This window comes from Homo sapiens, chromosome 5 (assembly GCF_000001405.40).
Source record: "Homo sapiens chromosome 5, GRCh38.p14 Primary Assembly".
NCBI classification, from domain to species: Eukaryota; Metazoa; Chordata; class Mammalia; order Primates; family Hominidae; genus Homo; species Homo sapiens.
Window position 1 is genome coordinate 170,961,627 of NC_000005.10, and position 18,243 is coordinate 170,979,869.

Consider the following 18,243-nt stretch of genomic DNA (forward strand, 5'->3'; position numbering starts at 1 on the left):
TTATGGATTTTTGGATTCGAGATGCTCAGATGGTAAGTATAATGCAGATATTCCAAATTTCAAAAAAATTAAAAATCTGAAACACTTCTGATCTGAAGCATTTCACAAAAGGAATACTTAACCTGTATATATTGGTATGTATAGGCATTAGTCTTATACACTTGTTAGAGGTGGCAGCACATCTTCAGAGGGCACTGTGGTAGAGACTGTCAATTGTCTTTCATCTCTTCTTCCTTTCCCTTCCCATAATAAAGTGCTTGATTGTTTTCTTGAGCAAATGGCCACTCTGAATAAAGACCAGATTTTCTAGGTTGTTTTGCAGCTAGGTATGGCAAAGTGATTATGTTCTTAGTGTAAATGAACGTGTTATGTGTAATATATGTAGATGTAATGGGTGGAGCTGAAAAAGCTACCTCAGACCACAGAGTGCTTGTGGAGGCAAGTGTAACAACAAGATGGAAGGAACCTGAGCCCCTGATACATCTTGGAGCACCAACTAGCTTTAGGGAACTACCCTGGATTTTTGCTTGAGAGAGAAATAAACATCTATATTATGTAAGCCATTGTTATTTTGGATTTCATACACTTGCAGCTGAACCAGTACAACTGCTAAAACTTCTTTGACAAATGGATTGTGTACCCTGCTGGGAACTCATTCCTACTCTCTTGCTGGTGGGGATGTCATTGCCTCTTAGGCAAATGCAGATCACCAGCTTAAAATGAGTTGTAAAGGCACCCCAACAAATTTTTGTTCCACATCTTCTTTGAATTTGGGAATGTGTGCTATAAAAAGGAAATAAAAGTAAACAAGAGAAAGTGCATAAAATCAACACAGAACTTGAGTAGGAGAAGGGAGATCCTATGCAATGAAGAATTTAAAAACAAGATACACCTTATTTAAGTCACTTGACAAATCACTTGGCTCCAGAGATGAAATTTGATGTATATATCTATTTATTTAACTAAAACTTACTCCAGTAATCTGCTAATTCACCAGTACACAGATTTTAAAATTTAGCTTTACTCCTCATCTCAAAATTAGAAGATAAACGTATCACACATCCTATTAGGAAAAAAACCTCAAAACCTGTTTATAATAATCTAATTCTTAAATCTAATTCCTCAGCAAGTTCTCCATAAATCTTAGCAGTACTGAGAATATTTGGTATGCAAAGGGTACTTTTAAATAAGTAGCTTTATTTATAAATATAGGAAATAATCACTATAAAAACGCTTGTCAAAATATTTTTTCTTAACATGTTGGCAATACGTAGCAAGTTTTTAAAAATTTTCGTATGCTGTGACCTAGACGTTTTGTTTCGAGAAGTCATTGAGGGTAAAGGAGGGGAAAGTAGTTATGTTTTACTTAGAAATATGAATTTTTATCCAAAATAAGATGATTAAATTTTGATGTAGCCTTAATTTTATGCAACCATTAAAAACAGTGCTTTGGAAAATTATTTAATAACATGGTAAAAATAATTGGTCAAGATATATTTAGTGTGATGGATTGTAGAAAAGAATAAAAGGTTCAGTAAGTGTTCTGAATGCATAAGTGAATCCTAGTATATATGATAAATACTTCATAATGGTGAACAAAAGATAGTCTGTACAGGAAATAAATGGTTTTGAAGCAACTGGGTAGGCATCTTTAAAAAATAATGTTAGCTCCTTGTCTCACACTGTATAATCAAGATGAATCTCAGTGTATCATAGAGGTAAATGTAGAAAACAAGAATCACAAAAATACCTGATTCAGGTAAGACCTTGCTATTATGCAAAATCCATGAAAGAAAAAATTGAACAAATTTTCTGCATGAGAAAAACAATAACAAAAACTTCTGCATGGCATTAAACATTATAAAGCAGTAGGCCCCAGGGACTGGTTTAGTAGAAGATGGTTTTTCCATGGACCGGGGCAGGGGATGGTTTCAGGATGAAACTGTTCCACCTCAGATCACCAGGCATTAGATTGTCATAAAGAGCACACAACCTAGATCCCTCGCATGCACAGTTCACAGTAGGGTTTGCACTCCTGTGAGAATCTAGTGCTGCAGCTGATCTGACAGGAGGCGGAGCTCAGGCGATAATGCTTGCTTGCTCATTGCCCACCTCCTGCTGTGCAGCCTGGTTCCTAACAGGCCACAGACTAGTACCGGTCTGCAGCCCAGGGTTTGGGGACCCTTGTCATAAAGTCAAGAGACAAATGAAACACAAAATTGTTTACAGTTCAATTATAGACAAAGGGGTCAACCCTCTGATATATAAATAATTTGTAAAACTCAGTAATTAAAAGACAGCCAAATAGAAAAAAAATCAGGAAAGGATATGAGCAAACGGGTCACAGAAAATGACATGGAAAATTTTTAACCTCGCCTAAATAAGAGGTGTACAAATTAAAATACACCGAGATGCCGTTTTTCAACTTTCCAGAAATTCTAATTTTCTGTCATCCTGAATTATCTTGTCTGTGTGTATATAGACACTCTTATGGAGTGATGGTAAGAGTATAAATTATTTCAATTTTTATGGAGTGCACTTTGGTAATAGCTATCAAAATTATAATAATTTATGCTGTTCGAGTGAGTAGCTTGACTTTTTGAAATGTGTGTTATAGATGGACATGTGTGAAATGACATATGCAAGATTGTTAATTGCAGCATTTTGTAACAGCAAAAAATTATAAACAACCTTAGTGTCCATCAATAGGGGAATGTTTGAAAATATTATGGTGTATTCATATAATGGAATGTTTTTTTGTTGTTGTTGTTAATTTTATTATTATTATACTTTAAGTTTTAGGGTACATGTGCACAATGTGCAGGTTAGTTACATATGTATACATGTACCATGCTGGTGTGCTGCACCCATCAACTCGTCATTTAGCATTAGGTGTATCTCCTAATGCTATCCCTTCCACCTCCCCCCACCCCACAACAGTCCACAGAGTGTGATGTTCCCCTTCCTGTGTCCATGTGTTCCCATTGTTCAATTCCCACCTATGAGTGAGAACATGCAGTGTTTGGTTTTTTGTCCTTGCGATAGTTTACTGAGAATGATGATTTCCAATTTCATCCATGTCCCTACAAAGGACATGAACTCATCATTTTTTAAGGCTGCCTAGTATACCATGGTGTATATGTGCCACATTTTCTTAATCCAGTCTATCATTGTTGGACATTTGGGTTGGTTCCAAGTCTTTGCTATTGTGAATAGTGCCACAATAAACATACGTGTGCATGTGTCTTTATAACAGCATGATTTATAGTCCTTTGGGTATATACCCAGTAATGGGATGGCTGGGTCAAATGGTATTTCTAGTTCTAGATCCCTGAGGAATCGCCACACTGACTTCCACAATGGTTGAACTAGTTTACAGTCCCACCAACTGTGTGAAAGTGTTCCTATTTCTCCACATCCTCTCCAGCACCTGTTGTTTCCTGACTTTTTAATGACTGCCATTCTAACTGGTGTGAGATGGTATCTCATTGTGGTTTTGATTTGCATTTCTCTGATGGCCAGTGATGGTGAGCATTTTTTCATGTGTCTTTTGGCTGCATAAATGTCTTCTTTTGAGAAGTATCTGTTCATGTCTTTTGCCCACTTTTTGATGGGGTTGTTTTTTTTTTTCTTGTAAATTTGTTTGAGTTCATTGTAGATTCTGGATATTAGCCCTTTGTCAGATGAGTAGGTTGCGAAAATTTTCTCCCATTTTGTAGGTTGCCTGTTCACTCTGATGGTGGTTTCTTTTGCTGTGCAGAAGCTCTTTAGTTTAATTAGATCCCATTTGTCAATTTTGGCTTTTGTTGCCATTGCTTTTGGTGTTTTAGAAATGAAGTCCTTGCCCATGCCTATGTTCTGAATGGTAATGCCTAGGTTTTCTTCTAGGGTTTTTATGGTTTTAGGTCTAACATGTAAGTCTTTAATCCATCTTGAATTAATTTTTGTATAAGGTGTAAGGAAGGGATCCAGTTTCAGCTTTCTATATATGGCTAGCCAGTTTTCCCAGCACCATTTATTAAATAGGGAATCCTTTCCCCATTTCTTGTTTTTCTCAGGTTTGTCAAAGATCAGATAGTTGTAGATATGCAGCGTTATTTCTGAGGGCTCTGTTCTGTTCCGTTGGTCTGTATCTCTGTTTTGGTACCAGTACCATGCTGTTTTGGTTACTGTAGCCTTGTAGTATAGTTTGAAGTCAGGTAGCATGATGCCTCCAGCTTTGTTCTTTTGGCTTAGGATTGACTTGGTGACACAGGCTCTTTTTTGGTTCCATATGAACTTTAAAGTAGTTTTTTCCAATTCTGTGAAGAAAGTCATTGGTAGCTTGATGGGGATGGCATTGAATCTATAAATTACCTTGGGCAGTATGGCCATTTTATCTCTGAATAGACCAATAACAGGCTCTGAAATTGTGGCAATAATCAATAGCTTACCAACCAAAAAGAGTCCAGGACCAGATGGATTCACAGCCGAATTCTACCAGAGGTACAAGGAGGAACTGGTACCATTCCTTCTGAAACTATTCCAATCAGTAGAAAAAGAGGGAATCCTCCCTAACTCATTTTATGAGGCCAGCATCATCCTGATACCAAAGCCGGGCAGAGACACAACCAAAAAAGAGAATTTTAGACCAATATCCTTGATGAACATTGATGCAAAAATCCTCAATAAAATACTGGCAAACGAAATCCAGTACCACATCAAAAAGCTTATCCACCATGATCAAGTGGGCTTCATCCCTGGAATGCAAGGCTGGTTCAATATACGCAAATCAATAAATGTAATCCAGCATATAAACAGAACCAAAGACAAAAACCACATGATTATCTCAATAGATGCAGAAAAGACCTTTGACAAAATTCAACAACCCTTCAAGCTAAAAACTCTCAATAAATTAGGTATTGATGGGACGTATCTCAAAATGATAAGAGCTATCTATGACAAACCCACAGCCAATATCATACTGAATGGGCAAAAACTGGAAGCATTCCCTTTGAAAACTGGCACAAGACAGGGATGCCCTCTCTCACCACTCCTATTCAACATAGTGTTGGAAGTTCTGGCCAGGGCAATTAGGCAGGAGAAGGAAGTAATGGGTATTCAATTAGGAAAAGAGGAAGTCAAATTGTCCCTGTTTGCAGATGACATGATTGTATATCTAGAAAACCCCATTGTCTCAGCCCAAAATCTCCTTAAGCTGATAAGCAACTTCAGCAAAGTCTCAGGATACAAAATCAATGTACAAAAATCACAAGCATTCTTACACACCAATAACAGACAAACAGAGATCCAAATCATGAGTGAACTCCCATTCACAATTGCTTCAAAGATAATAAAATACCTAGGGATCCAACTTACAAGGGACGTGAAGGACCTCTTCAAGGAGAACTACAAACCACTGCTCAATGAAATAAAAGAGGATACAAAGAAATGGAAGAACATTCCATGCTCATATAATGGAATGTTAAGCAGCTTCAGAAGAGAATGAGGAACCTCCTTATGTCTGATGTGTAAAGAGCTCTAAGATTCATTGTTCAATGGAAAAAGCTAAGCTTAGAACCATGTGGATAATATGTTCTATGTGTTCAGAAGGGTTGGGAGGAGAATCTGTAGTCATATTTGCCTGTACATACATAAAACATTCTCTGGAAGACATATAAACTATTAATAATGTGTGTATATATGTTCATGTGTGCATATATGGAAGAAACTGGGTGGGTCAGGCCTAGACAGAGCTTCCTTTGTGCAAATTAGAAAAGGATACTGCTTCCTCAACAACCTCTACTTCTGTCTCAAAAAATTATTATATTATATTCATTTTGTTAGCACAAGGTACTTGGCGGTCATCCACCAGAAAATTTTAATGAAAATAGATAATATTGAAGGATTTTTTTTGAGGTTCTGCACTAAGTTTTTCATTATATTGAATTAAGCTTTTTCTGTAGGAAATTTAACATAATCTTCAGTTCATTTATAATTTTCTAATAATAATAGTTTTGAATAATAATAGAAAAGTTGTGATTTTCTCTTAATAATAGTTTAACTGCTGTTAGGAATATTTGATTTTGTAAAGATCACCTTGTAGTTTATTTAAGGTAAAATTTTATTATTCATTAAGGGCAGGATATAACTTTTGTTAGATGTACCTCTTGATATTTTTTTGAACTTTGAGTCATGACCTCAAAATATTTAATTATTTAGAAATACAAGATTAAGTAAAAAGGTGAAATACAAGACTACATACTTAATATCCTTCTTCTTTTACTAAAAATTTATAGTAAATTTTTACTGTAGTATAGGGTTTTTTATGTGTATGCCATGCATTTATTTTATCAGTTTTTAGTAAAATAATATCTGTATATACATACAGAGTTTTGCATCTATATGCATGTATGTGTATGTCTTAGGAAAAAAAGGCTAGAATGAATTAGACCAAGTAGTAATATCTCTCAGTAGTAGGATTTCAGATGATTCAAAAAATATTTTCTTTATATTTTTTTATTTTCCCACTTTTTACAGTGATTATATGTTATATTACATTTATGGTAAATGTTTTAATGTTGTTTCTCTAAGGTTTTGTACTGAAGGTTTTTTTTTTATTTTCCCTTCATGAAGAGTTTTTCAGCTTATATCTTTAATGGATACCGGATTGCCTCGATGTTGTAATGAGAAAATAGAGCTTGCAATTCTGTGGTTCTTGGATCAGTTTCGTAAAACATATGTTGGTGATCAACTTCAAAGAACCTCAAAGGTAGGTTTCTACTAGAGAGTTTAAAACATGTTATTGGGGATGAAGAAAGATGTACATATATAACTGAATGATATATTTGGGAAATTTCTACATAAGACGTGTAATTGATTAATGAATTGATGAATTGGTGATGAAGTGCAATGTAAAATTAAGTTGCTTGTTTTATACCTAGTTTACCATTTTCTTTAAAGATTGAGTGGCAGAGAGGTAATGAATATGTTTTACATGGATGGTCATTAAACAGTTGAGATTATTTTAAACACTAATCAATTTTGCCTTATTGTATTTCAAGACTGAAAGCATAAGATTTGCTTTTTTAGTAGTTCCAGGGTTTTTTGGACACTTATTTATTTATGTGGCTTCTAGTATATTTCACTAATTTCTTGGCATTTGTACATGATTAAATAATGAGGACTAGGAAAATTAGATGTGTCCTTAGGAGACTGCATATAACCTTAATGTTAGGAATACTCATAGTATGATAATTGAATGTTTAGCATCAGTAAGTTAAGATGACTTGATCTTAAAGTATAATGAAAGATTATTAAGGGCATTTATGTGAAACCTAAGCAGATATTTAGTAGCATTAGATACTGACACTGAGTAAAATCTTCGCCATAAGAAGTTCTAAGGATATTCTCATTTCATTTGAACTTAGTTTGTTTTAGTGATGTTGTAGGATTTTTTATTTGAAAATTCTAAAATAAACTTTTTATACTCATTTTAGCTGTTTTATCTTAGGAAATGTAACCTTCAGTTTACTTAGGATTTTCTGATAATAATAATTGTGTAGTAGTGTGAAAAAATTTTTTGTTTGATTTTAAGATTATCCTTTAGTTTATTTCAGGTAAAATATTCTTTTTTAAGGAAATGATGCCATTTTATAATTTCTTTCTCAAATATATTATGATATTATCATTTAGGATTAATATCAATAAAATTCTCTTAGAATTTAGCTGCCACCAAATGAGACCATTTGGAAGAAAAAGAGTAGCTAGAAATAAATGTTTTAGGTTGTCAGTAAGACAACTTAGAATCAGACAATAATTACATACTATAAAATTTATATAACAGAGTGCCTTTTTAATAATCCCAGATGTGATACTTGAAGATTGAATATAAATCAAATGATGATAAATTTTCTTGTTTAATATGTCCAGAGAGTATCTTTGCTTTTGCAAAAGGGTTACTCTCAAAATATTGCTAATACAGTATCCATTTGGTGTAGGTCTTAAATCAAAACAGTATAATATGGAGTAGAAAATCCTTCTAAGTGTTGTTTTGAAGGCACCTGGAAGGAACTATGTAAAATGAGACTAGTTGTTTTAGGGCTATGGGATTTCGGATTTTGTTTCAAAACTTTTAATATAAGGTAATTGTGAAAAAAAGCGAATTACAGATTAGTTTTTCGTTTTTGAAAAAGCTTGCACTTTAGGAAAAAGTAAACACATCACCAGAATGGTATTGACTCCTTTATTGTAACTTTAACATTGTTGGTGTGTGTATCTTACCCTATTAAAGGAAGTTAGTCCTAAGGTGACAAAATTTCTAAGGCATTTCTATTGCATAACCCCAGAGTGAAACTAAATCTTCCTACTTTTTGGTTTCTCTGACTTACCTGCCAATCTGTCTTAATAGAAATCATTTTCAGAAGTCCTTAATTATGTGTCCCGTCACTCTCCTAGGTACTCTTCATGCTAGCTTTATTCCTTACAGTAGGCTTGCAAGGTTGGTATTAATGTCCTCATTTTACTAATGAAAGAACAGACTCTCTAAGACATTTCGTAAGTACTATATATACAATTTTTTTAGCAACCAACTACGTAAGGAAGAGTGAGTGGAACATATTTCTTGGTGGGTGTATTGTCTGATTCCAAATTGTGGCAAAAAGTGGGAGAATACTAGATAATAGCAAATGAATGTTTAACAATTAATGCGTGCTTATTTTGTACCAGGAACTGTGCTAAGCACTTTTGAGCAGTCTCATTTAATTGTATCATGTAGAGTATGACTTCAAGGTTCTTCCCAATCTCTTTTCGGCATATGTCACCAGCTTCATACTTCAGTACACCATACTTGCACTGCATACTTTATATGTGGTAAACTTATTTCAGGTTCTTCAGCAGTCTGTGCTCTCTGTTAATTCCAGGTATTAGAAGAAAATGTTTCCCCTGCTTAATTATGCCTAGTGTTCCATTATTGGAACGCTAAGCATGTGGGAGTTATTTATATCCTACTGCTCAAGGTCATCATCAAGGTCTGATTGCAAAAATTTAAAAAATTCCAACCTCAGGCATGAATGGGTTAAGACACTATTTTTTTTAAATCCATCTTTTACTTCTCTGCCTTATTCTGCCAACTACTTATTGTTATCAGAGACCCCATCCTTTAGTATCCCCTTTTTAACTCTCAAATTCTGAGAGTGTTCGTTTTGTCTGTGTTCTGTAGCACCCATTTGTTCCCTGTTTTAATATTTATTACACTGCTTTGTAATTACTTGTTAGTGAATAGACTGTAATTTTGGTTAGTACTATTTCTGCCTTGTTTATTGTTATCTGAAAGAGCCTGGCATGTATGTATTGTTTGTATGCTTTCAACTTACTGTTGAATGTGTGTATTTAATAGAATTCTATAGGAATTCGGCCTAGATCTCATGTATAATACTTTCAGGTAATAAAGGATATATTCTTGAGTTGGAAAATGATGCTGACTTGAGTGAAATTATTCAGCAGTTATAAATAAGGTGTAATATTAAGCATCTTGAACATTTTATAAAAGCCTGTATAGACAACAGAATATAATTTATAGAAGTAAGTTCTTCAGGAACCAAGGTGGAATTACTAAAGTGTCCTAAGTGATGTATGTGATAGAAGTCCTATATGTGAGAAAGAATGTTGTAAATAGTAGCCATAGGCATTTATTGAGCAACAAGTCTGTGTCAAATACTTTGCTCAGAACTTGAAAGGCATTATATAATTTCATTGTCACAAAAATGCTATGAAAATAGCGATTTTGTTAAAATCCTTCCTTTCTGTAGACATGGAAATTGAGGTTTAGAGGGGTTAACCAATGTGTTTAAGTGGTTCAACCTGGATTTGAACCCTAGGCACCTGACTGCAGAGCCTGAGCTGCTGACCACTTTGGTATATTGCCTCCTTTTTATTGGATCTTTCCACTGGGATGTTGAATGGGCCCTTGAAACTTATTTCCAAAAAGGAACTCACTATCTTTTAGAACTCTGTCTTCCTACTTCCCATATTTTAAAGAAGAATGACATTGAATTTCCCTTTTGTACCTCTTGTATCCAATCTGTCACCTAATCCTGTGAATTTTACTTTTGGAGTATCTCTCAGGTGTACTCCTTTCTTCTGCCCCTTTCTTTTTAGCCTCACTTTCACTGCTTGTTATTTCCTATGGAATTTCAAAAGTATTCTACTTGCCCTCTTTGTTTCCATTTTGCTTCTCCCCACTCCACTCTATTTTCCATACTGCCACTGGAGTATTTTTTTATTAGAAAACCAAAGAATAATGTAATAAACACTCATATGCCCATCATTCAGTTTTGTCAAGTCTTAATGCTTTGCTATATTTGCTTCAGATCTGTATATTTTTGAGTTAAACATGAATAATCCTGTTGCTGCTCTGATTTCACTTCTCTAGCTTCTTGCCCCACTGTCCTAAATTTAGTATTATTCTCATCCATGATTTTGTACTTTTTCTACATTTCTGTGTATATATAAACAAAACACAGCACTGTTAACTTTATATAAAAGTATTATGCAGTTTGGATCTTTAGGATTTTTTTTTTTTTTTTTTTTTTTGAGGTGGAGTTTCGCTCTTGCTGTCCAGGCTGGAGTGCAATGGCGCCATCTTGACTCACTGCAACCTCCGCTTCCCAGGTTCAAGTGATTTTCCTGCCTCAGCCTCCCAAGTAGCTGGGATTACAGGCATGCACCACCGCGCCTGGCTAATTTTTTTGTATTTTTAGTAGAGACGAGGTTTCACCATGTTGGCCAGGCTGGTTTCGAACTCCTGACCTCAGGTGATCCACCCACCTTAGCCTCCCTGAGTGTTGCAATTACAGGCGTGAGCCACCACATCTGACCAGAATTCATCTTTTTTTATTACCATTTTTGAGATTTATTCATAATGACACATATAGTTCTAATTATTTTAATTATTGAGTGGTATTAGAGTGTATCACTATGCCATTATACATTGATTTTATTATTGATATGTTAGATTGTTTCCAGATTTTCAATTTTTACAAACAATACTGCAGTAAATATTCTCATGTCTGCATCCTCATGCATATGTAAGAGTTTTGTGAAGATAAATAGTAGAATTGCTGGGCTGTAAAATGTACATATCTTAAGCTTTACTAGATATTATTAGGTTGCCTTCCTAAGTGTTATAACAGCTTATTTCCTCTCCCCCAGCCAGGGTAGGTGTCTGTTTCTATTGTCATTATATGTGCTTTTGTCAGACTTTAAGTTTTGCCAGTCTTTCAGAAAAATTTTTCCTGTGCAATTTTTCTGCTTAAATTTTTTTATTGGTTTCTCGTTACTTATAAAATGAATTCTTGCTTATGATGAAACTTTGCCTACCTTTGAAATCATTTCTTTTCATTCCACTTTATGACATGATTCATATGTGCTGCTGTCTTTTTTCCTTTGGTTTATTCCTGTTCATTACTCAGTGACTATTGATAAGTAACCACTATGTATTAATGCCAGGGATGCAAAAGTGAATAGGATCATCCATCTCCCCTGTAAGTTTTTAGTTAAAGGGAACATGGACAAGTAAGGAAAAAAAATTATAAAATTGATTCATATATGCATTTAAACAGCATATGATGAAATGAAGACCAGACAAACTATTAAATACATACTGCTGGGATTTTTGGTTATCTGTATGTGAAAATTTGGATTAAGACTTCATATCATGCAAAAATCAATTTCTAGTAGAAGACAGACTCTAAATATGAAAAGCAGAATACTATGATTTAGGGATAGGGAAGAATTTTTTAAGACATAAAAAAGCTAAGCTCTAAACTCAGAAGTTGGTAACTTCTACCTATATTAAAAGTAAAAACTCCTGTGAATCAGAAAACACAATAGACAAAGTAATAAAGAAAAGCTGTAGGAATACATTCATAATACATGTAACTTATAGAGAATCAACATTCGGTTATATAATTTCTGTGAATAAATAAGAGAAAAGCTACCTACTAGTAAAATGGCCAAAATACATGAATAAACACTTCACAGAAGAAGAAATCACAATGGCCAGTAAACATGGTCTTAGTCCTCTGGGCTGCTGTTAACAAATACCATAAACAACAAACATTTGTTTCTCACAGTTTGAGAGCCTGAGAAGTTCAAGATCAAGGCTAGCAGATTTTGTGTGTGGTAGGAGCCCTTTTCTGTTTTCATAGTTGGTGCCGTCTCTCTGTGTGTTCACATAGTGGAAAGGGCACACAAACTCTCTCAGACCACTTATGAGGACACTAGTCTCATCCATGAGAGCTCTGCCCTCATGACCTAATTGTCTCCAAAGGCCCTACCTCTTAATATCATCATGCTGGGAATTAGATTTCAACATACGATTTTGTCAGGGACACAAACATTCAGACCATAGCATTTCACATTTGCCCCACAAAGTGCATGTCCTTCTCATATGCAAAACACGCCATTCCATTCTAGTTTAGTCCCCAAAGTCTTAGTTTATCCTACAATCAGCTCCAAAGTCTGAAGCCTAGAGTCTCATGTAAATATCATCTAAATGAGATGTGGTTGAGACTCCACAGTGATTCATTCTGAGCCAAATTACCCCTCTAGCTGTCAGCCTGTTAAATCAGATAACATCATATGCTTCCAAAATACAATGGTGGGACAGACACAGGGTAGTCCTTGCCATTCCACAAGGGAGAAACAGGAATGAAGGAAGAAATGACAGGTCTTGAACACGTCCAAAACTTAATAAGGCAGCATTAAATCTTCAGGCTCCAGAATAATCTTCTTTGACTTAATGTCCTACTTTCTGAACACACTGGGGTAGGGATTAGGCTCCCAAGGCTCTAGGTGGTAGAGTTCTCATATACTGGAGTTGGGTGCTTGCTGCTCTCCCAGGATGGAATCACATGCCAGTGGCTCTTTTAGTCTAGAGTTCCAGAGATGAATGACTCTGCCCCCATGACTCCACTAGGCATTGCCATAGTGGGGACTTTCTCTGGTGGCCCTGTCCTTCCAGCAACCCTCTGAGTTGTACAGCTGAAGCTCCAGGCAGCTCTATTTTTGGAACTGGAGGTGGCCACACCCCCATGGCTTGAGCATTTTGCAAGCTGGAGGAAGTGGTACTGCATGTATGCCACCAGTGTTTACTCTCTATGCCCTCTGAAGGGGTAATCACTTTAGCCTAGGCTGCACTTGGGCCTATGGAACTGTACCTGGGGCAGCCAAGGAGCACTGCATGAGAATGTGGGGAGTGGAGTATTAAGGCAGGGCCAGGCAGCAAGTGCTAGGGTCCTGTGAGTACCCATGGCCCTTCCTTTGAAATCATTTTTTCTTCCAGGCCCTTGCGCTCTGGGCCTGGGAGACAGAATGAGAGACAGCCCCAAGGATCTGTGATACACTTTCAGGGTCATTTTTTCCTTGTCCCTGCCAGTCCAGGCACACCTTTTGTGTTCTCTCCTGAACATACTTTCTCATTTTTCACAATATGGAAAGGCTGATAATTTTTCAAACCTTTAAGTTCTCTTTCCTTTTGATTGACCATTTTGTCTTTAAATCATTTTTCTTCTCACATTTTATTATTATAAACATTCAAGGGAAACCAAGCCATTATTTTGCTTAGAAATTTATTCAGCCAGCTGGGCGTGGTGGCTCACACCTGTAATCCCAGCACTTTGGGAGGCCGAGGTGGGTAGATCACCTGAGGTCAGGAGTTCGAGACCAGCCTGACCAATATGGTGAAACACTGTCTCTACTAAAAATACAAAATTTAGCCAGGCGTGGTGGCACGTGCCTGTAATCTCAACTACTCTGGAGGCTGAGACAGAATTGCATGAACCTGGGAGGCAGAGGTTGCAGTGAGCCGAGATTGCGCCACTGCACTCCAGCCTGGGTGACAGAGTGAGACTCCTGTCTCAAAAAATAAAAGAAAGAAATGTATTCAGCCAAATATTCTATATCATTCCTTACAAATTCTTTTTTACAAAACAGTAGGACACAAACAATTCTTCTAGGTTCTTTGCCACTTTTATAAGGGCACCTTTTATAAGGGCACTAATCCCCCTTATAATTCTCTCCCAAAGGCCCTCTCTCTTAAAACCATCACATTGGAAATTAGATTTTAACATACGAATTTCCCGCATTTTTTCTGCAGCTCTGTTTGTTTTTTATTCTTTTTCTCTCTGTCCTTTGAATAGTACTAGGGTCTTAATATAGATGTAAAAGCTAAAAAACAAAAAAACAAACAAACAGAAACACCAAAATGGATTCCAGCATCTTATAAGTGCTTTCTCTTATGATCGAGAGTAAGACAAGCATGGCTACTCCCTTCTCTTCTATTAAATATTGTACTAGGGGTTCTATTGAGATAAATAGGCAAAAAACAAAACAAAACAAAACAAAAAGGCATCCAGATTTAAAAAAAAAAGGAATCTAGGAATAAAGGGATTACATCTCTACTTGCAGATGACATGATCTTATGTATAGGAAATCCTAAGGATCCACTGAAAAACTGTTAGAACTAATAACATCAGTAAGTTTGCAGGATTATAAGATTAATACAAAAACTCGACTGAATTTCTGTGCACTTGCAATAAACAACCCAAAAACAAAAGGAACAAAACATTCCATTATAATAGAATCAGAAAGAATTAAATAGGAATAAATTTAACAAAAGTGTAAAACTTATAATCTGAAAATCATAAAACATTGTTGAAACAAATTAAAGGGGATGTAATAACTGGAAAGATATCTTATGGTCATGGATTACAAGACTTAATATTGTTAAGATAGCAGTGCTCTTCAAATTGATCTACAGGTTTAACACAATCTCTACCAAAATCTTAGCTGTTGTCTTTGCAGGAATTGACAAGCTTATCCTTAAATTTGTGTGAAATTAAAAGAACGCAGAATAGCCAAAACAATCTTGGCCAAGAACAAAGTTGGAATACTCACACTTTCTAATTTCAAAACTTGCTACAAAGCAGCAATAAGTTGTTACTTACAATAATATTAAGTTATAGTAATTATAGTAAGACAGTGTGGTAAGCATATACATATAAACGAATGAAATAGAATGGAGAGTCCAGGTAAAAACCTTCACATTTGTAGTCAGGTGATTTTTTGACAAGGGCATCAACATAACTCAGTAGTGGAAGAATAGTTTTCAACAAATGATGCTGGTACAACTGGATATTCACATTCAAAAGAATGAAGTTAGTCCTCTCTCTCACACCATATGCAAAAGTTAACTCAAAATGAATCAGATCTAAATGTGAGAAAAATATAAAATGCTTAAAACATAGAAGTAAGTCTTTATGACTTTGGACAATGGTTTCTTAGCTATGACATCAAAAGCTCAAGCAGCTAAAGAAAAAGATACATTGGACTTCATCATTTAAAAACTTTTGTACTTCAGAGGACATCATCAAGAAATTGAAAGCGCAACCTACAAAAATGGGAGAAGATATTTGCATATCATATATTTCATAAAGGTCTCGCATCTAGAATCTATAAAGAATTCTTATAACTCAATAATAAAAAGATAAATAACCCAGTTTTTTAAATGGGCAAAAGATCTAAACAGACATTTCTCCAAAGAAAATCTATGAATGGCCAACAAGGACATGGAAAGATCTTCAGCATCATTATTTATGGTAGAAATTCATGTCAGTGCCAGAAATAGATACCACTTTACACTCACTAGGATGAATATGATTAAAAAAAAAAGATAATAACAATTGTGAGTGAGAATGTGGAGAAATAGGAATCTTCATACACTGTTGCAAGGAACGTAAAATATTGCAACCAATTTGAAAAACAGTCTGGCAGTTCTTCAAAAGGTTAAACATAGAGTTACCATGATTCAGTATTTCTACTCTTATGTATATATCCAAGAAAATGGAAACTACACTCTACATAAACATTTGCACACATGTTCACAGAAGCATTATTTCCAATAGCCACAAAGTGGAAAAAAATTTGCATGTCTATTAGCTGATGAATGGATAGATAAAATTTGGTATTTCCCCAAGTGGAATGTTATTCAGCCATAAAAAGGAATGAAGTACTGATAGATGCCGTAACAAGTATGATAATTGAAAACATTACGCTAAGTCAAATAAGCCAGCCACAAAAAAACAAATACCACATGATTCCAGTGGTTTGAAATGTCTGGAATAGGCAAATCTATAGAAATAGAAAGTAGATTATTGGGTGCCTAGGGCTGGGGTTATTGGAGATTGGGTAGTCATGGACAAAAGGTATGAAATACCTTTGTGGTGTTGAAATATTCTGAAATTGATTGTGGTGATGGCTGCACATATCCATAGAAAAAAACACTGAATTGTGCACGTTAAGTGTGTGAATTATATAGTAGGTGAATATGTCAACTTGTTACCAAAAAACAGACCAAAAAACTCACTTTTAAAATGGGCAGAAGATTTCAACAAGCACTGAAAAAAGGTATCTAAATGGCCAATATGCATATAAAAAGGTGTTCAGTATTATTAGTCATCATCAGAGAAATACTAATTAATACCTAAGTGAAATATCACTGCTCATCTGACAAAATGGCTAAAAATTTTAAAAACTGATCAAACCTTGATGATGGAGTGGAACACATGATAACATTTGTTGCTGGTGGCAGTGTAAATTAATAAAATCATTTTGGAAAACTATTTGGCGATGTACTAAAACTGGATATAGTCTACCTTATGACTCATCAGCTCTACTCTTATTTACCCAGAAGAAATGAATTTATATGTTTGCCAAATGCAGTGTACAAGAATATTTATAGCAACTTTATTTATAATATCCAAGAACTGGGAACAACCCAAGTGTCTGTCAGCAGTCAAATGGATAAATAAATTAATGTATACTCATACACTGTAATACTATACAACGATTTAAAAAAAGAAAAACTACATGCAAAAATTTGGATGAATTTATGATGATTTTACAATAATCACTTCAGCTATGATGAAGAATGAAAAAGATCAAAAGTGTACATATTTTATTATTCCACTTACCAATTTCTATAACAGTCAAAACTAATTTATGGTGATGGAAGTCAGAATGGTGGTTACCTTTGGGTAGGGAGAATATTTTGACTGGGAAAGTGAACTAAGGGAGCCTTCTGGGGACCTTGAAATGTTTTATTTTGATGGGGCTTAAATGAGTGTATACATATATAAAGACACTGAGCTCATATTATGATTTGTGCACTTCATATTTTGCCTCAATTAATTTTTTTTACAAAAGATTCATGGAAGCCTGGTGTGTAATTGTGTAAAAAAGTGGAAACTTGCCTATCAGTAGAAGAATGGATGAATTACGGTATTGTTACACAGTGGGATTATGTATAACAGTGAAAATGAATGATCTAAAACTACGTTTATTTTTGGGTAACTCTATAAAACCATCCACAATATGGTATGAAAAAAAGTCATACAAGGACACAAATGACATTCCTATGTCAAATATGTTAAGAAAATTGTATGCTCATGAATTCTACCTATGGTAAAAATAATATGTGCATGGGATTAGTAAACACTAAATTCAGGATAATGGTTATCTCTGGTTGAGAAGAGGAATGGATTAGAGCAAAAGGCATAGTTCAACCATATCTGTAATATTTTCTTAGTCTGCATGGTGGGTGTGCATGGGTGTTTATTAAATTTTATGCCTTTCTCTATATTTGAAATATTTAATTTGCAAAAGAAATAATTATAAGAACTCTAGTTAAATATAGCAAATTAAAATTTCACATTTACCCTCCTGTCCCCTTGCAACTGTATCATAATGAGAGTAGAGGAATAAAAAATACATTTGCAAGGAAGAAATTAGAGAATGATATGGTCTGGCTGTGTCCCCACCCAAATCTCACCTTGATTTCCCATGTGTTGTGGGAGGGACCCAGTGAGAGGTAATTGAATCATGGGACAGGTCTTTCCTATGCTGTTCTCATGGTAGTGACTAAATCTCACAAAATCTGATGGTTACTATAAAGGGGAGTTGTCCTGCATAAGCTATCTTAATTTGCCTGCTGCCATCCATGTAAGATGTGACTTGCTGCTCCTTGCCTTCTGCCATGATTGTGAGGCCTCCCCAACCATATGGAACTGTAAGTCCAGTAAACATCTTTCTTTTGTAAATTGCCCAGTTTCAGGTATGTCTTTATCAGCAGCATGAAAATGGACTAATAAAGTAAATTGGTACTGGGAGTGGGACATTGCTGAAAAGATAGCAGAAAATGTGGAA

General features: G+C 35.1%; 1 protein-coding gene across 21 annotated transcripts in view; it reads left to right on the forward strand.

Moving 5' to 3' along the window:
- The window catches only part of RANBP17 (RAN binding protein 17), a 437,998-nt gene that overhangs the window by 99,609 nt on the left and 320,146 nt on the right, over positions 1-18,243 (forward strand). For all 21 annotated transcript variants that reach the window (XR_007058628.1, XR_941108.3, XR_007058630.1 and 18 more), the window contains one exon: positions 6,616-6,751. Coding sequence is in view for 17 of the 21 variants with exons in the window: in XM_011534627.2 (XP_011532929.1) it covers positions 6,616-6,751 (136 nt within the window). In the remaining 4 variants the exon portion in view is untranslated. The remainder of the gene's footprint in view (positions 1-6,615; positions 6,752-18,243) is intronic.